The 27,654-nt window shown below is 38.3% G+C and overlaps 1 protein-coding gene across 19 annotated transcripts in view; it reads right to left on the reverse strand.

The window, feature by feature from the left end:
* Window positions 1-27,654, reverse strand: part of TRPM3 (transient receptor potential cation channel subfamily M member 3) — a 917,912-nt gene that overhangs the window by 206,873 nt on the left and 683,385 nt on the right. For all 19 annotated transcript variants that reach the window (NM_001366143.2, NM_001366141.2, NM_001366142.2 and 16 more), the window contains one exon: window positions 25,669-25,792. In NM_001366143.2, the coding sequence (NP_001353072.1) occupies window positions 25,669-25,792 (124 nt within the window). The remainder of the gene's footprint in view (window positions 1-25,668; window positions 25,793-27,654) is intronic.

The raw sequence follows: 27,654 nt of genomic DNA on the forward strand, positions 1-27,654 counted from the left end.
ACTCGAAGACAAAGGGCATAATCTCTTGGGAACTCTATGGGCCTGCCCACCACCTGATCTTACCTATACTACCGCAGCTGATGCTCTCTTGAAAGCACCACCTCCTGGCTGGAGGCCAACCAACACAAAACTAGCACAATAAACAAAACTACAGCCAAGGACCCTCACAGAGTTTACTTCACTCCGTTGCCACCCCACCTGGAGCAGGTGCTGGTATCCATGACCAAGAGATCTGAAGACGGTTTACATCACAGGACTCTGTGCAAACACTCCCCAGTACCTGAAGCCCCATAGCTCTGCTGGGCGGCTAGATCCAGAAGAGAAATAACAATGACTGCAGTTAAGTTCTCTGGAAGCCCCTTTCCTAGAGGAAGGGAGAGAATACTATATCACGGGAGCACGCTGCGGGACAAAAGAATCTGAACAGCAGCCCTTGAGCCCCAGATCTTCCCTCTGCAATAGTCTACCCAAATGAGAAGGAACAAGAAAAACAATTGTGGTAATATGACAAAACAAAACAAGTTCATTAACACCCCCAAAAGATCAGCAATGGATCCAAACCGAGAAGAAATCTGAATTGCCAGAAAGAGAATTCAAAAATGTCAATTATTATGCTAATCAGGTAGTCACCAGAGAAAGGTAAAGTCCAACTCAAAGAAATTTGAAAAATGATATAAGATGTGAAGGGAAAACTCTTCAGTGAAATAGATAGCATAAATAAAAAACAAAAGCAACTTCTGGAAAGGAAGGACACACTTAGAGAAATGCAAAATGCACTGGAAAGTCTCAGCAACAGAATCAAACAAGTAGAAGAAAGAACTTCAGAGCTCAAAGACAGGCTATCGAATTACCTTAGTCCATTCAAAGACAAAGAGGAAAGAATTTTTAAAAAATGAACAAAGCCTCCAAGAAGTTTGGGATTATGTTAAATGACGAAACCTAAGAATAATTGGCGTTCCTGAGGAAAACGAGAAATCTGAAAGTTTGGAAATCACATTGGAGGAAATAATTGAGGAAAACATCTCCAGCTTTGCTAGAGATCTAGACATCCAAATATAAGAAGTTCAAAGAACACATGAAAAATTAATCACAAGAAGATCATCACCTAGGCACATCGTCATCAGGTTATCTAAAGTCAAGATGCAGGAAATAATCTTATGAGCTGTGAGGCAAAAGCATCAGGTAACCTATAAAGGAAAACCTATCAGATTAACAGCAGATCTCTCAGCAGAAATCCTGCAAGCTAGAAGAAATTGGGGCCCTATATCTAGCCTCCTTAAATAAAATAATTATCAGCTAAGAATTTTGCATCTAGCGAAACTAAGATTCATAAATGAAGGAAAGATACAGTCTTTTCCAGACAAACAAATGCTGAGAGAACTCACCACTACCAAGCCAGCACTGCAAGAACAGCTAAAAGGAGCTCTAAATCTTGAAACAAATTCTGGAAAATACACCAAAAGAGAACTCCTTTAAAGCATAAATCTCAAAGGACCTATAAAACAAAAACACACTGAAAACAACAAGAACAACAATAACAACAACAAGGTATTCAGGCAACAAACAGCATGATGAATATAATAGTACCTCACATCTCAATACTAATGTTGAATGTAAATGGTCTAAATGCTCCAATTAAAAGACACAGAATGGATAAGAATTCACCAACCAAGTATTTGTTATCTTCAAGAGACTCACCTAACACATAAGGACTCACATAAACTTAAGGTAAAGGAGTGGAAAAAAATATTCCATGCAAATGGACACCAAAAGCGACAAGGAATAGCTATTCTTATATCAGACAAAACAAACTTTAAAGCAACAGCAGTTAAAAAATTCAAAGAGGGACATTAAATAACGTTAAAAGGACTAGTCCAATAGGAAAATATCACAATTCTAAATATATATGCACCTACCATTGGAGCTCTCAAATTTATAAAACAATTACTACTAGACCTAAGAAATGAGATAGACAGCAACACAATAATAGTGATGGACATTAATGCTCCACTGACAGCACCAGACAGGTCATCAAGACAGAAAGGCAACAAAGAAACGATGGATTTAAACTATGTCTTAGAACAAATGGACTTAACAGATATTTACAGAACATTCTACCCAACAAAGGCAGACTATACGTTCTATTCATCAGCACATGGAACATTCTCCAAGATAGACCATATGATAGGCCACAAAACAAGTCTCATAAATTTAAGAAAATTGAAATTATATCAACTACTCTCTCAGACCACAGTGGAATAAAATTGGAAATCAACTCCAAAGGAACCCACAAAACCATGCATGTACATGGAAATTAAATAACCAGCCCCTGAATGATTATTGGGTGAACCATAAAATCAAGATGGACCCACCAACTCATGGGTGCAGCGCACCAGCATGTCACATGTATACATATGTAACTAACCTGCACATTGTGCACATGTACCCTAAAACTTAAAGTATAATAATAAAAAAAAATCAAGATGGAAATGTAAAAATTCTTTAAAGTGAATAATAGTGACACAACCTATCAAAACCTCTGGAATACAGCAAAGGCAGTGCTAAGAAGAAACTTCATAGCATTAAAGCCTAGATCAAAAAGTCAGAAAGAGCACAGACAATCTAAGGTCACACATCAAGAAACTAGAGAAACAAGAACAAACCAAACCCAAACTCGGCAGAAGAAAAGAAATAACAAAGATCAGGGCAGAGCTGAATGAAATTGAAACAAACAAAATATGAAAGATCAATGAAACAAAAAGCTAGTTCTTTGAAAAGATAAACAAAATTGACATACTATCAGTGAGATTAACCAAGAACAGTGAGGATTCAAATAAGCTCAATTAGAAATGAAACTGGAGATATTACGACTGATATCACAGAAATACAAAAGATCATTCAAGGCTACATGAACACCTTTATGTGCATAAGCTAGAAAACGTGGAGGAGATGGATAAATTTCTGAAAATATACAGCACTCCCTAGATTAAACCAGGAAGATATAGAAACTATGAACAGACCAATAACAAGCAGCAAGATTGAAATGGTAATAAAAAAAAAATTGCCAACCAAGAAAACTTCCAGGACCAGATGGATTTACAGCTGAATTCTATCAGATATTTAAAGAAGAATGGGTACCAATCCTATTGATATTATTTCAAAAGATAAAGAGGGAATCTTCTCTGTATTATTCTGTGAAGCCAGTATCACCCTAATACCAAAACCAGGAAATGACATAACAAAAAAGGAAAACTACAGACCGATATCCCTGATGAGCACAGATGCAAAAATCCTTAAGAAAATACTAGCTAACCAAATGCAACAGCATATCAAAAAGATAATACATCATGATCAAGTAGATTTGATAACAGGGATGCAAGGATGGTACAACATATGCAAGTCGATAAATGTGATACACCACATCAACAGAATTAAAAACAGAAATCACATGATCATCTCAATAGATGCAGAAGAAGTATTTGACAAAATCCAGCATCACTTTATGATTAGAACTCTCAGCAAAATTGGCACACAAGGAACATACCTCAGTGTAACATAAGCCATCTATGACAAACACACAGCCAACATAATACTGAATGAGGAAAAGTTGAAAGCATTCCCCTGAGAACTGGAACAAGACAAGGATGCCCACTTTTTTATTATTTATTTTTTTTTTTGAGTCAAGGTCTCACTCTGTTGCCCAGGCTGGAGTGCAGTGGCACCATCTCAATTCACTGCAACCATCTCAATTCACTGCAACTTCTGCCTTCCAGGTTCAAGTGATTCTCCTGCCTCAGGAGGGATTCTCCTGATTAGGTGGGATTAGAGGCACCTGCCACCATGTCTGGTAAATTTTTGTATTTTTAGTAGAGGTGGAATTTCACCATGTTGGCTAGGCTGGTCTCGAACTACTGGCCTCAAGTGATCTGCCCGTCTTGGCCTCCCAAAGTGCTGGGATTACAGGCATGAGCACCAGGCCCAGCTGGATGCCCACTCTTACCACTTCTATTCAACATAGCACTGGAAAGCCCTAGCCAGAACAATCAGACAAGAGAAGGAAATAAAGGGCATCCAAATCGGTAAACAGGAAGTCAAACTGTTGCCATTTGCTGATGATATGATCATATACCTAGAAAACTCTACAGATTCCTCCAAAAAGCTCTCAGAACTGGTAAATGAATTAAGCAAAGTTTCAAGATACAAAATTAATGTACACAAATCAGTAGCTCTGCCATACACCATCAACGACCAAGCTGAGAATAAAATCAAGTGCTCAACCCTTTTCACAATGGCTGTCAAAAAAATAAAATACTTAGGAATATACCTAATCAAGGAAGTGAAAGACTTCTACAACAAAACTACAAAACACCGCTGAAAGAAATCATAGATGACACAAAAACATAGGAACACATCCTATGCTTATAAATAGGTAGAATCAATATTGTGAAAATGAACATACTGCCAAAAGCAGTCTAAAGCAGCCTAAAAATTCAATGCAATTCCCATTGCATACCACCATCATTCTTCACAGACCTAGAAAAAACAATCTTAAAATTCATGTGGAATGAAAAAAGAGCTTGCATAGCCAAGGCAAGACTAAGCAAAAAGAACAAATCTGGAGGCATCACATTACCTGACTTCAAACTATACTCTAATGCCATAGTCACCAAAACAGCATGGTACTGGCATAAAAATGGCACATAAACCAATGGAACATGATAGAGAACCCAGAAATAAAGCCAATTGATCTTTAACAAAGCAAACAAAAGCATAAAATGGGGAAAGGACATTCTATTCAACAAATGATGATGGGATAATTGGCAATCACATGTAGAAGAATGAAACTGGATTCTCATCTCTTACCTTATACAAAAATCAACTCAAGATGAATCAAGGACTTAAATCTCAGACCTGAAACCACAACAGTTCTAGGAGATAACATCGGAAAAACCCTTCTAGACATTGGCTCAGGCAAAGACTTCACGACAAGAACACGAAAGCAAATGCAACAAAAACAAAGATGAATAGATGGGACTTAAACTAAAAAGCTTTTGCACAGCAAAACAAACAATCAGCAGAGTAAACAGACAACCCACACAGTGGGAGAAAATCTTTGCAGTTTATACATCTGACAAAGGACTAATATCCAGAATCTACAAGAAACTCAAACAAATCAGCAAGGAAAAAACAAACAATCCCATCAAAAAGTGGACTATGGACATGAATATACAATTCTCGAAAGAAGATATACAAATGACCACCAACACATATGAAAAAATGCTCAGCATCACTAATTAAAAGGGAAATGCAAATCAAAACCACAATGCAATACCACCTTACTCCTGCCAGAATGGCCAAAATCAAGATTTTAAAAAAATAGATTTTGACAGGGATGTGGTGAAAACAGAACACTCTTAACACTGTTTTAACACTGTTGGTGGGAATGTAATCTAGTACAACCACTATGAAAAACACTGTGGATATTCCTTAAAGAACTAAAAGTAGAACTACTATTTGATCCAGGAATCACACTACTGGGTATCTACCCAGATGAAAAGTCATTATACAAAAAAAGATACCTGCACATGCATCTTTTTAGCAGCACAATTTGCAATTGTGAAAATATTGAACCAGCCCAAATGTCCATCAATCAACAAGTGGACAAAGAAATCGTGGTATATGTATATATATCACAGAACGCTACTCAGCCATAGAAAGGAATGGAATGATGGCATTCATAGCAACCTGTATGGAATTGGAGACCATTATTCTAAGTGAAGTAACTCAGGAATGGAAAACAAAACATCTTACATTCTCTCTCATAACTGGGAGCTAAGCTGTGAGGATGCAAAAACGTAAGAATGATACAACGGACTTTGGGTACTTGGGGAAAGGGTGGGAAGGGGGTGAGGGATAAAAGGCTATACATTGGATACAGTGTACACTGCCCGGGTGATGGGTGCACCAAAATCTCACAAATCACCACTAAAGAACATATTCATGTAACCAAACACCATCTGTTCCCCCAAAAACCTATTGAAATAAGAAAGAAAACAACAACAAAAATATATGTGGCTTAAGCCTGCACCTGACTTTCCTTTTGTTTTTTAAAGTTTTTTAATTTTTTAAAATAAATAAATTTCTGAAAAGTTATGACCTATTACTTGTTCATTAAGACCACATTTTAATGACATAGGAACATAATTATGTATGTTATTAAGTGAAAAATTCAGGATATAAACATATATGTAAACAATATCTCAATTATATACAAATTAGTATAGAAAAAATGGAAAATGCACCAAAGTTATAATCATGATTATTTACCTTTCTCATGTGTTTATTTATTTTCTATATTTCTACAATGAAAATTTTTTTAAAAATAGATATATAACTACATATTTATGGGATACATAATGATGTTTTGATATATATAATGTATAGTGATCAGATCAGGGTAATTAGCATATCCATCACATCAAATATTTATCATTGCTCTGTGTTGGGAACATTCAATGTCCTCCTTCTAGCTGTTTGAACTATGTGTTATTAACCAGTTATCCTCCAGCGGTATAGAACACTAGAACTTATTCCCCCTACCTAACTGTGATTTTGTATCCTTTAACAAATCTCTCTCTATCCTTCCCTTAAAACATTTTTATAATTAGAAAAATAATGCAATTATTATTAGTATTAATTTAAGGAAGGTTAAGGCTTATGTTCTATTTTTGCTGTCTGGAGCTGTGTAGACTTAGACAAATCTCACAGCATCTTTGAGTTTGAGGTCACCACAAATAACACATACATAGTAACAGTTGTCCTGCCTACCATGAGAGGTTATTTTGATGATGAAATCTGAGAGATAATAGACTTGATGAGGCTTTATCAGTTGTAGTCATTCCACACATGTATTATAATCTTCTTCCTAAATCAAGTTCCATTCCTGGGCTTCCCTGTATTGCTCAGTGGAACTATCATTCTTGACCACTATCTTTCCTTAGCCACCACAATCAATCACCAATTCCTTTGAGAGAAACTATTTTTCATTGTGGATTTCTGGGAAGAGATCATGAATGAGGCAGCCTTCACACTATATCTGGAGGGTGGATAGAGATGGAGAATTATAGGGAGAGGACATTTTGACACAGAGAACACTATGAACAAAGTCACACAGGTGGGATATTCACAGATTTTTCAAAAAGTACATTTGGTTAGACTAGAGTACAAGTAGTACTTCGAGTTGTGGCTGGAAGGATAGACTAAGTCTGGATCACGGAGGGTCTTGAATGTCTGGCTAAGGAACTGAAACTTAATTCTGAAGGCTAGTATGTTCCAACCTACAGTCATGCTTGTATAATCTTCACCTTTTTGTCATATTGATATACCAACACTACAAGTAGATATTTTTCTTCAAATTAATTCCCCTTTGAAACTTTTATTTATTTAGGTCTAATACCCTTGGCTTTGTGTTTTATTATAATTATTTCATATATATGCAAATGAAAACATATCTCGGAAAACAAAAAGATGAATTTACATTCCACCTAAAATGATCTCCTATGCAATCAGTGATAGCCATTCCTTACCTTGGGAAGCACAGCGAGGGTAATGTGGGTTTCCGATTGGGTGGGAGGTTACATTATGAGAGTTGCTCCTTAATGGGAGTCATCCAGCTGTCCTGTTTCAACTGGAATGGAGAGACTAGGGGGCACTGAGGTCAGCCAGGGATGGGTAGTTTAGGCAGGCCTGGTGAGATTCTGCCTAGGGATGCAGAGTGGAAATGCAGAGTAGGTGTGAGATGTACTCCTCCAGTCTCTAGGAAGACCTTCCTAGAGTTAGAACTCAAACTACCAATTGTCATGCAAATTATTTAGTAAGTAAGCTATTAAAAGGAATAAAATAATACAATAATATTTTATTTTTATTTAATTGATTGTATTACTTTCATTAATTTTTCTCAGTAAAAGAGAGTAGTTATATTTTTCCACTGCCTCTAATCTACCAATATTTTTTGAGGAATATGGCTGAAAAAGGCCAGAGGTATTAAAATTCTATGTGTGTTCATTGGTTATGAGAGAGAATTTGAGGCTTGGCTAGTGGGATTGAAAATCAAATGGGGCCGGGCACAGTGGCTCACGTAATCCCAGCTCTTTGGGAGGCCAAGGTGGGTGAATCACCCGAGGTCAGGAGTTCGAGACCAGCCTGGACAACATGGTGAAACCCCGTCTCTACTAAAAATACAAAAATGAGCTGGGCATGGTGGTGGGTGCCTGTAATTCCAGCTACTTGGGAGGCTGAGGCAGAAGAATCACTTGAACCTGGGAGGCAGAGGTGGCAGTGAGCTGAGATCATGCCACTGCACCTCAGCCTGGGTGACAAGAGCAAAATCTCTGTCTCAAAAAAAAAAAAGTAAAAAGAAAAAAGAGAAAGAAAAAGAAAATCAAATGGATATTTGCTCTTCATTTGTATAGTCTTCCCCAATCTGTTTCATTGTTCTGATGAGCTAGCATAATTCTTGTCTCATTGTTATGCAGCTCAAATGACACAAGGAATGGAACAGAGCTTTATACACTATAAGCATTATTACACATCAGTAGATGAAAGGTGTTATTATTATTATTATTGGCTGTTTTGGAATGGAATTGTGTAAATTACATTTTCTTGATATTTGTTTTTCACGTCAATGAATATTTTGTGAGACTACAGGGTGGTCTGGACACTGTGCCTTCATTTTCCTTGTAAATATAATGACTGGTATATAGGGGCAGAAGGTATTCCAAGAATACCAGCCAACAAAATGGTCTTTTCTTTCCATGTGAATCTCACAGTTTAATATTCATTCAGATTGTTCTGGGAATAAAGAGAAAATGGGCTCCTACTTTACCGTCATTTTAACTTGATCATACTTAATAATTAGAATATTGAATCAGATGAAAAAAGGTAGAAAGAGCCCAGGATTTGCAGAAAGATGCTCTTGGTTTAAGTACAAAGTTGCTACTAACTAAACAAGCTTGAACTTGTAACTTATTGTCTTTGAGTCTTGGTTTCTCTCTGTAAAATGGAGATACTAATACCGACCTCAGCAAGGTTGATTTTTGTATCAAACAAGATAACATGAAAATGATCTGTGCTAAACATAAAGTGCTATATAGACATCATCATCACCATTGTTACAATAAAAATATTTATTGAGTGCTTATTGTTTTTTGCATATGTTAACTCATTTAATCCTTATAAGTAATGACATAATATTGGTATTATTATTATCTAAATTTTCTGGAGGTGAAAACTAAGACATACGGAGGTTAAATAACTTGCCCAGTATTGTATATTAAATGGCAGATCTGGGATTTGAATCAGGCAAATTGACTATAAAGACTGCATCAACCTTATTTCTAAAATAATGATATTCTAATAATTTAAAAGAGTTTCAGAACCTCAAAAATTTATCAGTGACCCACTGTATGTTGAAAACTCATACGGAAAACATTTTGAGTTGAAAAATTCTTCCTCTTTATCTTCTTTCCACTATTTTATTTAAAATGTTTGGACTTGAATTATGTTATTAAGATGATATTCAGATAACATTTAAAAGGAGTTTTGGTACAATTCAGTATCTATCTCAAAGAACATTTCAATTTCTCCCCAAACATTATGTTGGAGAAAAAACTTTTCTAAACTTGATGCATGACTCTATGACTTTGAGCCATTTGGTGTAAAAAAGTCCCTTCCCATCTATAAAAGGCTTGATTCCTCTTATGACTATAAGTAGGCCAATTGAGCTTGTTTTGTCATTGGTGTTAAACAGGGAAGGCATTGGCTTGCTTCTTTCTTATCATCTGGGAAATTATATATGCTTCCTCTTAATTGTACCCTGTCCACTAAAATGATCAAGAAGGGAAGATGGAACCTGAAGATGAAATCGAAAGTCCTGAAGTCAAAGTATGCCCTACTGACAATTTTAACTAAGACTGGATAAAATATGAGAGGAACAAGAAACATCTGTGTTTATAATCTAATGAGTCCCTGTAGTTATATGTAGAATAATTGTAGTTACAGTTAACAATTACTGAGTGCTTCCTAGGAGCCACACACTGTGCCAACATTCTTTACACATCAGAGTTAAATACTTAGCTCTCCCAGCAACAGGGTGTTGGGTACTGACAATTCTGAGGAGTAAATCCTATGTGGTGCTGACACCCTGACCTGACAAGTAACACTGACCATCTCCTGCTTATGGTAGTAAGAGACTACCATTTTTCTAAGCAAGAAACATCTTCGACTTTTTGTTCCTTTCTCAGATACAGACAGGATGCCCATTTGAAAAACAAAAACAGAGAGAGAGAGAGAGAGAGAGAGATGAAACTTATTTAAAAATCATGCTTGCTTGGTTTTTATGAGTCTATTAAGGGGTAGGTAGATAGTTGGCCTTCAGTTTCCTAAATGTGGAAAGAGAGTTGTCATTGGATGCCAACATCAGCTTCACACATACTCTCATAAACATAATAAATCTCCTTGTACTGGGAGGTAGTGGAGTTGGCCTCCAGAGACTTATCTGTAAGGCACAGACAATAGCCCTCTGCTGTCTTCTCCAGTGTCTAAGGGAAAGTCGTCAGCTCTGTAGCCTGAGGGCCTGCAGAGAATGGGAAGCCATGTAACATTGGGATACTTCTTGGCCTTGCAATTGGTAGGGGATACAGGGCATGTGCAACCCTTGGATCAAAATCTTCTGGTATAACTATATTTATCACATTGGGGTAAAAAAAAATCAAACCATTGTTTCAACCAAAAGGAGGAAGCCCCAAGTATGATAGATTCCAGAACACATGGGAATTATCACTCTATTTTAAAGCTGAGGATCCCAGGGCTCAATGCAGGTTAAGCTACTTGAGTGATGAAGGCAGAGTTGGAATCCAGGTTTGTCTGCTTCTAGTACTTGGTTACAATTGCCACATTAGATTGCTTCCCATGGGTTGCACAATTTAAGTGGATGGGCCTGGATCAAATCCAAGCCCATAAACCAAATTTATGACTCCCTAAGGAGCTGTGCCTCTGTGTTAGTAGAGATTTTAACAAAATTTATAGATACTGAATATGTATCAGCCCCATTAATGTATATACATCTGAATTCATTCATTCATTCACTCACTTATTTGTTAAAGATTTATTGAGTGTCTGCTATATATATGCTATGATATTAAGCACAACTAGGCAAAAGTGAGTACAAGAGAAACATAGAATAATGAATCAGACAGATTCTGCTCTTAAGAGCTTGCATGGGAAGTTAGAGATATACATAAATAAAGTATAAATGACAAGCACAAGAAAGTTACAAATAAAGGAGGCAAATGGATTCCAGGTGTGTGTGTGTGTGTACACATGCAAATGCAGACATGTGCACGGGTTTGGTAATTGAATATGACTAAAGAGAGTGCTCTAAGCTTGAACAATATCAGGGAAATAGAAAATTTAAAAATGACTGTAAGGAGATCTGTTTGGTTAGTGTGATGAATCCATAAAGAAGCAATGGAATTTTGGACTGAAACTGCAGGCAAAACATTCTACTTTACGTTCAAAAGAGTGATATGATTGGTTCTGTGCTTCAACAAGGGCTATCAGGCATTTCTATGGCAAGGGGCCAGCAAACCACTGCCTGTGGGTCAAATTTGTTTTATGGTCTGTTTTTCTGTGACCAGTAACCTGAGAATGATTTTTACATTTTAAAGGGTTGTTCAAAAACAAGAAAGCAAACAAAGAACAGTATGTGACAGAGACTGTATCTGGTATGCAAAACTTGAAATACTTACTATCTGCCACTTTACAGAAAAGTTTGCCAACCCCTGCAGTGTGTAGGATGCATTGTTAGGGGGATATTGGACTAGGCGACCAAGTTCATAGGGAATAGCAATAGTCTAGGCAAGGAAGAATGAGGGTATGAGTGAGAGTGGAACTTGGAAATGCAGGAGCCAGGGGAAAGCAAGGCTAGATATTTGTGCATTTGGGAATTATCTTGATTAAAATGGTAATTGAAGTCACAATAGTGAATGAAAGGGAAAAGAGCCAATAATTGATCATAGTTAAACATTTATTTTTAGAGTGGTGAGGAAGAAGAGGATCTAACAATGGAAAAAGAAAACAAATGGTAACAGAAGTGTTAAAGAAACAGAAAATTGAGAGTCTAACATGAAATTCACAGGAAAGTAACTTTAAGAAGAAAGAGGAAGTTGATAGCCTCAAATGCTATAGAAAATTTACTAAAAAGGTTGCAAAAGTTATGGCCTAATATCTTTGCTTCCATTTATTCCATTAGCACAATTTGTAAGTCCTTGGCTTTTGCTTGCCTTATGCTGCCCTGCCCAAGAGAGAATGTGGTGTTAATGAGGTATTAGAGCCATAGCTGCCAGGGTACAACAGTGACCTAGCCCTTAAGTTTAGCTTCTCATGTTGTATGTCTATTATGTTCTAAATAAAGGTAGATGCCAAGTCTCTTCTAACTCTCCTCAAAGTACTTCTTCTCCATGTCAACTGGTGGATATGTGATTGCTAGGATTTGAATATTTGTGTCTCCTTCAAATTCATATTGACTCTTAATCACCAAGATGATAGTATTAGGAGGTGGGGCCTTTGAGAAGTGATTAGGTCCTGAGGTCTTTGCCCTGATGAATGGGATTAGTGCCCTTACGAAAAAGGCCTGAGGAAGCTTGCTTGCCCCCTCCACCACATGAAGATGCAGCAAGAATGTACCATTTACGAGAAAGTGGGCCCTAACCAGATACTGAATCTGCCAGAGTCTTGATCTTGGACTGTCCAGCCTCCAGAACTGTGAACAATAAATCTCTGTTGTTTATAAACTACCTAGATTATGGTATTTCATTATAGCAGCCTGAACAGACTAAAACAATGGTCCCTGGAGACTTCTTGACTGACGAGGGTTAAGAAAAAATTAGTTTATTTTGTTTTTTATTTTTTTGAGACAGGGTCTTGCTCTGTCCCCTGGGCTGGAGTGCAGTGGTGTGATCTCAGCTCACTGCAGCCCCAAACTCCCAGGCTTAAGAGATTTAGCTAGAACTCCGGTTGCATGCCAACACAACCAGTTCATTTCTGTATTTTTTTTGTGGAGATAGGGTTTTGCTATGTTGCCTAGGCTGGTCTCAAACTCCTGGGCTCAAGTGATCCACACTTCTCAGCCTCCCATTACTAATATACAGTCCCAATGTCCTGGGACTATGGGCATGAGCCACTGTGTCCAGACAAAAGTTGGTTTATTTTCATTCTTGTGTATCCTGAATTGATGTACTGAATAAACAGACTTAGTACTCTAGTATGCAATGTTTGCTTCTTGATTTTAGAATCATTATTGCAAATGAGAACCAGCTGTAGGGAAGTAGGAAGTCCATGTTACCATACTATAAAGTCTGCGAGGTACATTACAAAAACCCCCAAGATATAGTCTAGGAATTAAGACGTTAAAGTAATTTTACCACTTAAATTATGATTAGAAAGCTATTTTTTTTCTTTTTACATTCAGGCCATGAGTGCACCAATAAATACTCAATAACTAGCACAAATCCAAAATAAGCCATTGGACAACTATCTTATTTTGGAAACTATAGGGCAGAGTTAAGAAATAGTAAATAACATCCTGCTTATTAAAATTGTTAAAGCAATTTACCAAAAACTGTGTAGTAATAAAGTCAGAAAACTGAAATGTGCTCTAGGTTCTGAGATAAGAAGAATAAAAGTCAGATTATTTCCTATATTTCATAAACAAGTAGTACTAAAATGAAGTCATCCTGGAGAAGGCAACAAATTGGTATAAAGTTATTCGTGCTTTATTTAATTTTTATCTTCTAACATAATTAAATATGAGCTAACATTTCACCTTTATGGAAAAAGAAGTCTGGCATATGAATATTTCATTTGGTAAGAGAAGCATAATGGATAAAGTCCATTTGACCCAGATGTAGATTCAATGGCTAATTATTGAAATCTCTCTTCCTTTCTCTTTCTTGACAGTCACTGCATGTATCTCATTTAAAATAATTACTATTTAATCTGGGTTGTGATAACCAACTAATTCTAGCAGAGGTTACGCACATCATAAATAGTGTCAGGGTCCCTACAGAAGCAACGATATATAACAGCTTTCACCAACACGCAGCTTAGACATAGGCTACTAGGCTGTACTGTAAGATTGTACTATGCATTTTTCTGTTGAAAATCAGAGTAAGCAGTTGTGAGATGTCATAGCTGGATGCTCGCAGTTTCATGTGATCATGGAAGTGGAAATGGCAGCAGAAGAGAATCTTTTCCCAGATGAAAGAAAGTATGGGAGTTTGGAAAGCCTAAATTATAGGCTGGGAAACAGGGTGGTAAAAAGAAGTAATTGAAGTGTGGGGATTCATCCAGACTGCATTCAGACTGTGGAGGGCCTCAAAGCCACATTAAATAGTTTGGACACTTGTTAGTAGCAAAAGCAAGTCCTTGAAACTATCTGAGCAAATAAGTTAACAAGTCAGGCCTGGGCCTCAAGCATCAAGCCTGGAGGAGTGTTTGGAATAGCTTGGAGGACAGACAACAAGGTTTCCTTTCTGGGACTAGGTAGGAACACAGAGTAATGGCCCTGGTGAAGAAAACTGAGGCTCAGAATGAGGATGATGGCACTGGAATCGAAGTAGAGCAGGCAGATGTGAGAGACACTGCCGAAAGAAACTCAGAATAACTTGGCCACAATTGGCTGGTGGCGGTGGCAATGAGGATAGGGGAACTGAAGCTTTCAAGACTGAGAAAATGAAACGAGAATTGGAAGGGGAAACATTGTGGAGATGTAGGGCTGGGAAGCACTGGAGGATGTTGGATAGGCTGATTTTGTTTCTGGACATGTAGAACTTGAAGTAATGACGAGACAACCAGGTGAGACATCCAAGCGCAAGCTGTAAGTATGGTTGGAGAGATTGAGAGAGCAAGGTTAAGGCCAGAAATAGTTTTGTGAATAATCTCCAATGAGGTTGTTGGTGAAGCCAACAGGAGATGTATGATATTACCAAGAAAAAAAAAAAAGGTCTTATAAGGAAATACCTAAATGAGACTTAGCAATTGAGACTATCTTACTGAATAAATGAATGAAATTTAAAATGTATTCAGGGTAATTAGCACAGAATACATGCAATTAGACTAATTTACCACTAAAAATAGAGCATCTAATATGACGTTAAAAACAAAAGCTATATATAATTTTTAAGAAACTCATCTAACATATAGGGTGCAGAAAAGCTGAAAATAAAAGGAGAAAAAGCATGAAAATGTCCTATATTGGGAAAGTACGAACTAAAAGAAGTTGATGTAAGTGGATTAATATCAGATGAAATGAAATGCAAGACAAAGCATTGTCAGGAATAAACAAAGTCTCTGAATAATGATAGAAAAATATTTCACCAGGAAATATAGCTAGTCTAAAAACTTATAAGCCTAACAACATCATCTCAAAATACATAAAGCAAAAATTTGACAGAATTTTAAAGAGAAATTGACACAATCTCCCATGATAGGAGACTTAAAATTACTTCTTCAAAAAATGACACAAAGAACAAAAGGACTGAGAAAAAAGAAGTTTCAGGTAATGTCCACATTATGGATGAAAGTAATGAGAAACGTAAGGAAAAGAGGAGGAGAAACAGAAAAGTTGGAGGACTAGCAGAAAAGTACAATGTCATTGAAATTTTAGGAAGGTAGAAAAGACAGAAGTAGAACCCAATGCAGAGGGAGTAATAGAGTTACTGTTCAAGAAATGTACATTTTCTAGAGAAAAAATTATGGAGGAAATGCAAAGTGATGGGATGTGTTGCCTGTTTAGAGAATGACTGTAGAGAAGAAGAGGGGCACTACTTCCTCTGATACTACATAGAAAAAAAAGGCATGGCTCAAGATATAGTCACACTGGGATAAAGGAGAAGAAAGTAGAGGAGCTTACATTTATGACCTTTGATTTCCTTTAAGGAGGAGTCTTCTGTTGAGCATGAGGAGAATGAATCTTTAATTTCAATGCAGTTTCAATCCACATCTCAACAGTGTGTGTGTGTGTGTGTGTGTGTGTGTGTGTGTGTGTGTGTGTGTGTGTGCGCGCGCGCGCGCATACACATGTACATGCAACCTGAAAGGCTGAGTTTAAAATTTATCTATAAGAGCAAAGGGCTAAAATAGTTGGCAACTCTGGAGAAGTGTCACAAGGAGTGTGACTTGCCCTATCATACATCAGGGCTTATTATAAAGTTACACTGATTAGAAAAATAGGGCACCAGGGAAGGACTAGACAAGTAGGGAAGCCAGAAAGGCTCATGTATAGGTGGAAACCTGCTTTATGAAAGAGCTGGCATTATGCGACATAAGGATGGACCATTAAATAAATGACGCAAGGTCAGCTAGTCATCTACATGGATCTCCACTTCATATCATACACAAAAAAAATCAGTTATGGATGGGTTACAGGTTTAATGTTGAAGGTGAAACTAGACACATTTTAGTAGAATATATAGAAGAATATCTTTTTGATATTTTGGTAAAGAAGAGTTTATTAAACATGAGGCAAAAAGCACAAAACATAAAAAAGGCTGATACATTTAGCTGCAGTCATAGGCTGCATAATGACGTTTCAGTCAATGATGTATTGTGTATGTGACAGTGGTGCCATGAGATTATAATATTGTATTTTTATTGTATCTTTTTATCTTTAGATATGTTTAGATACACAAATACCTAACATTGTGTTACAGTTGCCTACAGTATTCAGAACTGTAATATGCCATTCAAATTTGTAGCCTAGGGACAAATAGGCTATACCATAGAACCTAGGTGTGTAGTAGGCTATGTTGTCTAGGTTTTTAGAATTACACTCTATGGGCTGGGAGTGGTGGCTCATGCCTGTACTCTCAGCACTTTGGCAGGCCGAGGTGGGCAGATCACCTGAGGTCAGGAGTTCAAGACCAGCCTGGCCAACATGGTGAAACCCCATCTCTACTAAAAGTACAAAAATTAGCTGAGTGTGGTGGTTGGCACTCCCAAAAGCTACTTGGGAGGCTGAGGCAGGAGAATTGCTTGAACTTGGGAGGTGGAGGTTGCAGTGAGCCGACATCACACCACTGCACTCCATCCTGGGCGACAGAGCAAGACTCTGTCTCAAAAAAAAGAAAAGAAATACACTATGATGTTCACACAACAATGAAATAGCCTAATGACACATTTCTCAGGATATATCCCCATTGTTAAGTAATGCCTGACTGTACATTAAATTTGAGAATTTCTATTTATCAAAGTACATCAAAAAAAGTGAAAAAACAAGCCCCAAACTGAGAAAATGTATCTGTAACACAACCAACAAAAGATTAGTATTTAACATATATAAAAAGAATAAGAGGAAGTGGCTGTGGTTTGAAACTTGGAAAGAATATAAAAGATTTAGAACAATGATTGTAGGGAATAGGAGAGCCTATTGACTAGAGATAAATACGAGGATTGGCTGGTGTTATTGAAAGCCTAATCCAATTAGACTGAATGACTCAGCTTTGGGAGTGGTACGAGAAGCATCAGGCACATAGAATAGAGTAATTGACAGGTGAGGGAACCCAGATGGGAGCAGGGAGGGTGGAAAGACATAGTGCAAACTCTCAACAAGGCACAAGGTAAAGAAAACTATTTTGAACATGTTTTTACACAGATTGCTTGAGGCGTTTGATCTCAGGCTCGTGAACAGAGAAGCCTGGCATCCAGGTTCAGGTTCAATATGAATGAAGTGGTGGGAGGGGGGAGGTAGGGCAGTTATCTTTGGAGTGGGGAGTAGATTTTAAAGTCTTAGATTTTGGAGCAGCAAGGCTTTGAGTGGAGGCATGATTCCCAGGTGTGACTGGGAAGAAATGGAAAGATGAACTGATTGGACGCTAGGAGGTCTGGCCGCTGTCAGGGGAGTAGAGTGAATGATAGGACTCACCAGTGTGGAAGCAGAAGGTGGTGAACTAGGAGCAGGGCTGGTGTTGTCATCACCATGACTTGTTTAGGGCCACACAACCATGGGGCTTACAATGCCAAGTCTAAGTGGTCCTCCTACACTCCAGGGTATCAAAAGCAAATGTACTGCCCCAGTCTGGGGTTGGTGGTTTGGCAGTGGCGATAGAGGAAGGCTTCTGCAGGAGCTCAGAGGACAGACAGGAGCTCCAGGAGGCAGCAGCAGAAAAGGAGCTGGCACTGCCCTCTGGAACATAAGGCTCTTGGTTTCTATGCACATAATCAGCCTCACTGTGTGCATGGTCACCTGTGTCCCCTTTTCCTGGTCTTGATATTCTTTATGACCAAACCCCTCTTGAGGAGGAAGATAATAGAGAGACATCTGATCTGTGACATCTGTTCCCCAATGAATATGTTGCAGATAGTCTTTATCTCTTTAATTTCTATTCTTTACCTGAAAACAATGATAGAACTTAGGTTATAGGTTGATTTCTAGAAGGACCTATCTTTTTTAAAGGGGACAGGTTTTGAGTAAGCAGAGGAGTGAATTACTTCAAGATCTATATGAAATGAGCAGAAAGTACAGCAGTATCTGTGTGAAGATGTCGTGAGGGGCTGCCCCACCTAGCTTGAAATTGCAGGCCCAGGGAATATTTTTCATGAGGCCACAGCACCCAGAGGCCCATCCATAGTGCAGGCTTTATTATGTAAGTCAGTTAAGTGCTGGGATGAGAAAGATATCACATCAACTCTAGAACCAAATAGCTTAGCCAAACTTGGCAACGGTTAGACTGGCCTCATAATATTATACCCCATATAGTTTGTAAGGGGAATCAAAAGAAACTTGAAGGATACAAGAGAAAAGAGAAACTCTATGACGATGCAATGCCTCCTTGTTTTGTGTGCTATGCTATGGAGCCTAATGAGTAGAAAACACGGGGTCTGCAGCAAGACAGTCCTAGCTTGGCTCTTCCTGGCTCTGTACATCTCCCCACCTCTCTTAGCCTCAGTTCCTTTCCTTGTCTCTGCAAGAGGAGAAAACAATGCCTACTTTGTGTCTACCTTATTTTCAAGGCATCTGGTACCGTCCATGTACATAAGTAGTCCCTCAAAATTTGAAATTATAGTTATACTGTAATTTTGATTTAAAAATTTCTAACTTATTTTTGCCCGGATGTGGAGATAAATTGTTGCTTCTTAAGAACACACAGGCCAACATTCAAATTTAGGAAATACAGAGAACACCACAAAGATACTCCTCAAGAAGAGCAACCACAAGACACATAATTGTCAGATTCACCAAGGTTGAAATGAAGGAAAAAATGTTAAGGGCAGCCAGAAAGAAAGGTCAGGTTACCCACAAAGGGAAGCCCATCAGACTAACAGAAGATCTCTCCGCAGAAACCCTACAAGTCAGAAGAGAATGGGGGCCAATATTCAACATTCTTTTTTTTTTTTTTGGAGATGGAGTTTCGCTCTTGTTGCCCAGGCTGGAGTGCAATGGCATGATCTTGGCTCACTGCAACCTCTGCCTCCCAGGTTCAAGCAATTCTCCTGCCTCAGCCTCCTGAGTAGCTGGGATTACAGGCATGCACCACCATGCCCGGCTAATTTTGTATTTTTAGTAGAGACGGGGTTTCTTCATGTTGAGGCTGGTCTCGAACTCCTGACCTCAGGTGATCCGCCTGCCTCGGCCTCCCAAAGTGCTGGGATTACAGGTGTGAGCCACCAGACCCGGCCATCGACATTCTTAAAGAAAAGAATTTTCAACCCAGAATTTCATATCCAGCCAAACTAAGCTTCACAAGTGAAGAAGAAATAAAATCTTTTACAGACAAGCAAATGCTGGGAGATTTTGTCACCACCAGGCCTGCCTCACCAGAGCTCCTGAAGGAGGCGCTAAATATGGAAAGGAAAAACCAGTACTAGCCACTGCAAAAACATACCAAATTGTAAAGACCTATTGACACTATGAAGAAACTGCATTAACTAACGGGCAAAATAACCAGCTAGCATCATAATAACAGGATCAAATTCACATATAGCAACATTAACCTTAAATGTAAACAGGCTAAATGCCCCAATTAAAAGACACAAACTTTGAGACTCATCGGTATGCTGTATTCTGGAGACCTATCTCACATGCAAAGACACACATAGGCTCAAAATAAAGGGATGGAGGAATATTTACCAAGCAAATGGAAAGCAAACAAAACAAAACAAAACAAAAACAAACAAAAAAAACAAAAAAGCAGGGTTTATAATCCTAATCTCTGATAAAACAGACTTTAAACCAACCGAGACCGAAAAAACAAAGAAGGGCATTACATAATGGTAAAGGGATCAATGCAACAAGACAAGCTAACTATCCTAAATATATATGCACCCAATACAGGAGCACCCAGATTCATAAAGCAAGTTCTTAGAGACCTACAAAGAGACTTAGACTCCCACACAATAATAGTGGGAGATTTTAACACCCCCATTGTCAATATTAGACAGATCAATGAGATAAAAAAATAACAAGGATATTCATGACTTGAACTCACCTCTGGACCAAGCAGACCTAATAGACATCTACAGAACTTTCCACCCCAAATCAACAGAATGTACATTCTTCTCAGCACCGCATCACACTTATTCTAAAATTGGCCACATAATTGGAAATAAAACACTCCTCAGGAAACTCAAAAGAACGGAAACCAACAGTCTCTCAGACCACAGTGCAGTCAAATTAGAACTCAGGATTAAAGAACTCACTCAAACCATACAACTACATGGAAACTGAACAACCTGCTCCTGAACGACTACTGGGTAAATAATGAAATTAAGGCAGAAATAAACAAGTTCTTTGAAACCAGTAAGAACAAAGACACAACGTACCAGAATCTCTGGGACACAGCTAAAGCAGTGTTTAGAGGTAAATATGTAGCACTAAATGCCCACAGGAGAAAGTGGAAAAGATCTAAAATCGACACCCTAACATCGCAATTAAAAGAACCAGAGAAGCAAGAGCAAACAAATTCAAAAGCTAGCAGAAGACAAGAAATAACTAAGATCAGAGCAGAACTGAAGGAGATAGAGACACGAAAAACACTTCAAAAAAATCAATGAATCCAGGAGGTGGTTTTTCTGAAATGATCAACAAAATAGACTGCTAGACAGACTAATAAAGAAGAAAAGAGAGAAGAATCGAATAGACACAATAAAAATGATAAAGGGGATATCACCACTGATCCCACAGATGTACAAACTACCATCAGAGAATACTATAAACACATCTATGCAAATAAACTAGAAAATATAGAAGAAATGGATAAATTCCTGGACACATACGCCCTCCCAAGACTAAACCAGGAAGAAGTCAAATCCCTGAATAGACCAAAAACAAGTTCTGAAATTGAGGCAGTAATTAATAGCCTACCAACCAATAAAAGCCCAGGGCCAGATGAATTCACAGCCAAATTCTACCAGAGGTACAAAGAGGAGCTGGTACCATTCCTTCTGAATCTATTCCAAAAAATAGAAAAAGAGGGACTCCTCTATAACTCGTTTTATGAAGCCAGCATCATCCTGATACCAAAACCTGGCAGAGACACAACAACAAAAAAGGAAAATTTCAGGCCAATATCCCTGATGAACATCAGTGAGAAAATCCTCAATAAAATACTGGCAAATCAAATCCAGCAGCACATCAGAAAGCTTATCCACCACGATAAAGTCAGCTTCATCCCTGGTCTGGTTCAACATATGCATATCAATAAACATAATCCAACACATAAACAGAACCAATGACAAAAACCACATGATTATCTCAATAGATGCAGAAAAGGGCTTTGATAAAATTTAACACCCCTTCATGCTAAAAACTCTCAGTAAACTAGGTATTGATAGAATGTATCTCAAAATAATAAAAGCTATTTATGACAAACCCACAGCCAATATCATACTGAATGTGCAAAAGCTGGAAGCATTCCCTTTGAGAACTGGCACAAGACAGGGATGCCCTCTCTCACCACTCCTATTCAACATAGTATTGGAAGTTCTGGCCAGGTCAATTGGGCAAGAGAAAGAAATAAAGCGTATTCAAATAGGAAGAGAGGAAGTCAAATTGTCTGTGTTTGTACATGACATGATTGTATGTTTAGAAAACCCCATCGTCTCAGCCCAAAATCTCCTTAAGCTGATAAGCAACTTCAGCAAAGTCTCAGGATTCAAAATCAATGTGCAAAAATCACAAGCATCCCTATATAACAATAACAGACAAACAGAGAGCCAAATCATGAGTGAACTCCTATTCACAATTGCTACAAAGAGAATAAAATACCTAGGAATCCAACTTACAAGGGATGTGAAGGACCTATTCAAGGAGAACTACAAACCACTACTCAAGGAAATAAGAAAGGACACAAACAAATGGAAAAACATTCCATGCTCATGGATAGGAAGAATCAATATTGTGAAAATAGTCATACTGCCAAAAGTAATTTATAGATTTAATGCTATCCCCATCAAGCTACCATTGACTTTCTTCACAGAATTAGGAAAAACTACTTTTAATTTCATATGGAACCAAAAAAGAGCCCACATAGCCAAGACAATCCTAAGCAAAAAGAACAAAGCTGGAGGCATCACGCTACCTGGCTTCAAACTATACTGGGAGGCTACAGTAACCATAACAGCATGGTAGTGGTGCCAAAACAGATATATACACCACTGGAACAGAACAGAGGCCTCAGAAATAATGCCACAAATCTACAACGATCTGATCTTTGACAAACCTGACAAAAACAAGCAATGGGGAAAGGATTCCCTATTTAATAAATGGTGTTGGGAAAACTGGATAGCCATATGCAGAAAACTGAAACTGAACCCCTTCCTTACACCTTATACAAAAATCAATTCAAGATGGATTAAAGACTTAAATGTTGGACCTAAAACCATAAAAACCCTAGAAGAAAACCTAGGCAATACCATTCAGGACATAGGCATGGGCAAGGACTTCATGACTAAAACATCAAAAGCAATGGCAACACAAGCCAAAATTGACAAATGGGATCTAATCAAACTAAAGAGCTTCTGCATAGCAAAAGAAACTATCATCAGAATGAACAGACAACCTACAGAATGAGATAAAATTTTTGCAATCTATCCATCTGACAAAGGGCTAATATCCAGAATCTATACAAAACTTAAACACGTTTACAAGAAAAAAACAAACAACCCCGTCAAAAAGTGGGCAAAGGATATGAACAGACAATCCTCAAAAGAAGACACTTAACGCAGCTAACAAACATATGGAAAAAAGCTCATCATCACTGGTCATTAGAGAAATGCAAATCAAAACTACAATGAGATAGCATCTCACTCCAGTTAGAATGGCAATCATTAAAAAGTCAGGAAACAACAGATGCTGGAGAGGATGTGGAGAAATAGAAACACTTTTACACTGTTGGTGGGAGTGTATATTAGTTCAATCATTCTGGAAGACAGTGTGGCATTTCCTCAAGGATCTAGAACCAGAAATACCATTTGAACCAGCAATCCCATTACTGGGTATGTACCCAAAGGATTATAAATCATTCTACTATAAAGACACTTGCACAAGTATTTTTATTGCAGCACTGTTCACGATAGCAAAGACTTGGAACCAACCCAAATGCCCATCAGTGATAGACTGGATAAATAAATTGTGGCACATATACACCATGGAATACTATGCAGCCATAAAAAAGGATGAGTTCATGTCTTTTGCAGGGACATGGATGAAGCTGGAAACCATCATTCTCAGCAAACAAACACAAGAACAGAAAACAAAATACCACATGTTCTCACTCATAAGCTGGAGCTGAACAGTAAGAACACATGGACACAGGGAGGGTAACATCGCACACCAGGGCCTCTCAGGGGGTGGGGGGCTAGGGGAGGGATAGCATTAGGAGAAATATCTAATGTAGATGATGGGTTGATTGGTGCAGCACATGTATACCTATTTAACAAACCTGAATGTTCTACACAAGTATCCCAGAACTTAAAGTATAATTTTAAAAAATAATTTTTTTAAAGAAGAACTCATTTCCTGAGCCTGGAGCTAGGAATACCTCACATTTCTTATAACAAATAACTTGCATAAAATGCAGTTAACTTTTTCAGCAGAGACCACGATTAAACAACATGAAATTTAGGCAGAATTCTGCAAAAACAGTCCCATGAAATACCTAGAAAAGTTCATTCAGCCTCATTTGGTTTTATGACTTCCCACTGGTTCCTAGAATTTTGCTCCTAGCTGCCTTTCTAGCAAATTTGCAGGACTGCTGAAATGTATAGTCCTGGTAAGGTTTGTCAGTTAGAATTGGCCTCAGCATTGGAAAAGCATCAGTACTCAGAAGATAATCCCTACTGTGGCATGTAGAAGCTCAGGGCTTCAGTGCCTCCCTGGATAGAGGAAGTATTCGAGCTGCAACACCATGAGCTAACGACATCCGAGATGGGAGGATGTCACATGTGGGTGGTACCTTCGTGCGTAGTAGAGTTCTCCTGGAATGACAGCAGCCATGACCGTGTGCCCCACCCGCTCGCTGGCTTCTATATATGGGGCAGCCAGACTGTGTACCTAGGTATTGTCCTATTCTTCTCATCTTCACTCATCTCATCCCAAACCTGGAAGCTGCTGAAAGGTTTCTCACAAAGGCTGTGTGGATGCTTTTTGGAGATGGGTCTTGCCCACTCTAATCAATTCCTTTTTTTTTTTTTTCTAAACATTTTGCTATCTCTCTCAGCAGTTGGGTTTAACTGACCTTTGAGAATAGTCTCTCTGGCTGAGGCCTGGGGGCATCTACCCAGAGTGGGTGATCCACTGCATTGGCTTCAGTGAGACACTTTCTGAATAAAAATACTCCATACAGAGGTTAAACATCACTGGTTTTGAGTCTTAGCTCCTCATTTACTAATCAAATGAGCCGGGTTTCCTCATCTGTAAGATGAGGGTAATAATTGTACCTCTCTCATCAGGACAGTTGCAAAGGTCATATGAGTTTATATGCATAAAGATCTTGCTCCCTGCTTGGCAGATAGCAAGTTCTTGTTAAATGTTTGAGTAAGCAGAGAACAAAATCACATGATTTTGTTCACCCTAGCAGGGTCTCTGATCATACCACATTTGTAAGACATTTTGCTCTGATTTTAGAAACACATTTTGCTCTGATTTTAGATTCCTCCAGGATTTCTTATGTTTCTCCGTTTTCTACCTGTACAGATTAGTGTAACAGCCTGGACCCTTTGTCATTAAAGCTATTTGACAGAAAGCACCTCAGTGGTTCATGACTTCCAAGCAAAATGAAATCCGAAACCTAAGAAGATCAAGCTGAAGCGTTCTCCAGGAGGGGACCAATTTTATCACTTCAACTCATTTTGTTGAGGCAGTCAGAGCGTTTGGATGAGCTCCAAAAGGAAATGATGCTAAAACTCTGCTGCACACACCTTATTAACTCGAAGGCAGTAAAAGCAGTGTCTTAGTTACTTAGGAGAGGAAGCTACTGGAGCCAATGGAGCCTGAGGAGAGCTGTAAGCTCGGCCAGAAAGAGAGAATGTTGCATGATTTGAGAAAATGTTGTGTGATTCAAGAAAATGACTGAAAATGTGGAGACAGCTGGCCACCCATGCGGAATTACCTACCAATTCCTTCTTCTTCATGCACTCCATGAGGATGATGAACAGATGCTGAGCTTGGGTTCGAGTGTATGTGAAAGTCTTCTGTATAGTCACCAACAGCTGGTCCCTCAAAGATTCATTTATCAGTCTGCAAGTAAAAACAATGTCAAAAGCAGGTCAACCAACTCCTATTCAGCAAGTATTTCTGAGAAATACAGAGCTCAAGAGGAAATAATGAGGGTTTACTTTAGATAGGAGTTATTTCTGTATTTTTCTCACAAAAGGTATCCCGCCTGTGATAATTTAAAAAGCAAGGCATTTAAAAATAAATCAATTTTACTCTCTCAGAAACCAACAGTCGAAAGATTGATTTACATATTTTAATTTTATTTTTCTGTTTTTCATATGGCATGTGTCTAATGCCCTTTTCCTCAAGTTTGCTTATCAAAAATTACCTTCAATTAACCATCTGCATCTTCTTGTTAAGAATTTGCTATAGTACTGTTCTTAACAGTACTATATAAATCTCCTAACAGTACTGCAGGAGATTTAAATTGCAGCGTCATGTCTAATTGTGGAAATAAAGACAGTATTTCATTAATAAGTTTTTGAACATCCATAAGCAGAAATAGGAATTATGTTTTCCCAAAAATCATTTCATGTAGGCAGCAGCCTGTCTGGCCTATGATTTAGGTATTCATTATTTACGTCAAGCTTTTGTTCTGTTACAGTGAACAGTAAGACAGTATAGTATTAGCTGCCTGATTAAAAGATACTTTTATGCTATAGAAGAATAAATGAAAACAGGAAAGAGGCATCATATCTAATCAATGCTCAATTATGTCTTAAATATGAATCAATCACAACTAATTTTTAACTTCTTTCTCATTACCCTGGTGAGAACAGGGCTTTCTCTACTAGCCATTAAATGGCAGGGATGGAAAACTCACTTTATTAATAACAGATACTATTTAAATTCAGGAAGACAAAACTGCTCTCAAGGACCAGTGGCAAAATTACCATAATTTACCTAGTATTTTACAGATTACAAATTGCTTTCATAATTAAAGTATCAGCAACTCCTAAATAAAATAGTAAAATAAATTATCTCAGTTGCTGATTACAGGAACTCTATAGACAAGGGATTTGTTCTATTTCACAGGCAGGACATTTTAGCCAGAAAGAGCCCAATGTTTAAGTTCACGCAACAAATAAGTGACAGAGTTATCAGAATCAGAACCTAGTTCTTCTGAATATTTGTCCAGGGCTCTTTCCACCACACCATGTTGCCTCTGTTTACACCAAGTGGATCACACCACTGCCTCTCTTCATCACTGTGGCTATTTGAGCAGGCAGTTGTGGAGTTTCCTTCAACATGAAAGCAAGAAAAACTTTATTGCTTAAAAGAAGGCAAGATGGGGAGCCAGAAGATGTCTTCTTATCAGTGACCTGCTGTGCTCCAGTTTATGTGAGGTTCATCTGAACTCACTAGGTTGGATATTATGATGGCCCTGCTTTGAGGAGGGTGGCATTCCTCATGACAGGACTATACCAACGATCCTGGAAGGTCACTCAGCTGGATGAAGGACTGGGTCACCCCTTCCCCCACTCCTACAAAGTGTATATTCTATATCAAGAATATACACATTTAGGCTGGGCACTGTGGCTCCCACCTGTAATCCTAGGACTTTGGGAAGCTGAGGCAGGTGGATCACCTGAGCCCAGGAGTTCGAGATCAGCCTTGGCAATACAGTGAGACTTTGTCTCTACAAAAAATTTAAAAAGTTAGTTGGGCATGGTGGTGCATGCCTGTAGTCCCAGCTACTTGAGATGCTGAGGTGGGAGGACCACTTCAGCCAGGGAGGCAGTGAGCCAAGATCACACCACTGCACTCCAGCCTGGGTGACAGGGCCAGAACCTGTCTAAAAAAAATTTATATTTAGAAAAAGAGGATGGTTGAAAAAAATAATGCCAAATCCTCTCTTAAGATTATCTTAATTATTCTGAATG

This window comes from Homo sapiens, chromosome 9 (assembly GCF_000001405.40).
Source record: "Homo sapiens chromosome 9, GRCh38.p14 Primary Assembly".
Lineage (NCBI taxonomy): Eukaryota > Metazoa > Chordata > Mammalia > Primates > Hominidae > Homo > Homo sapiens.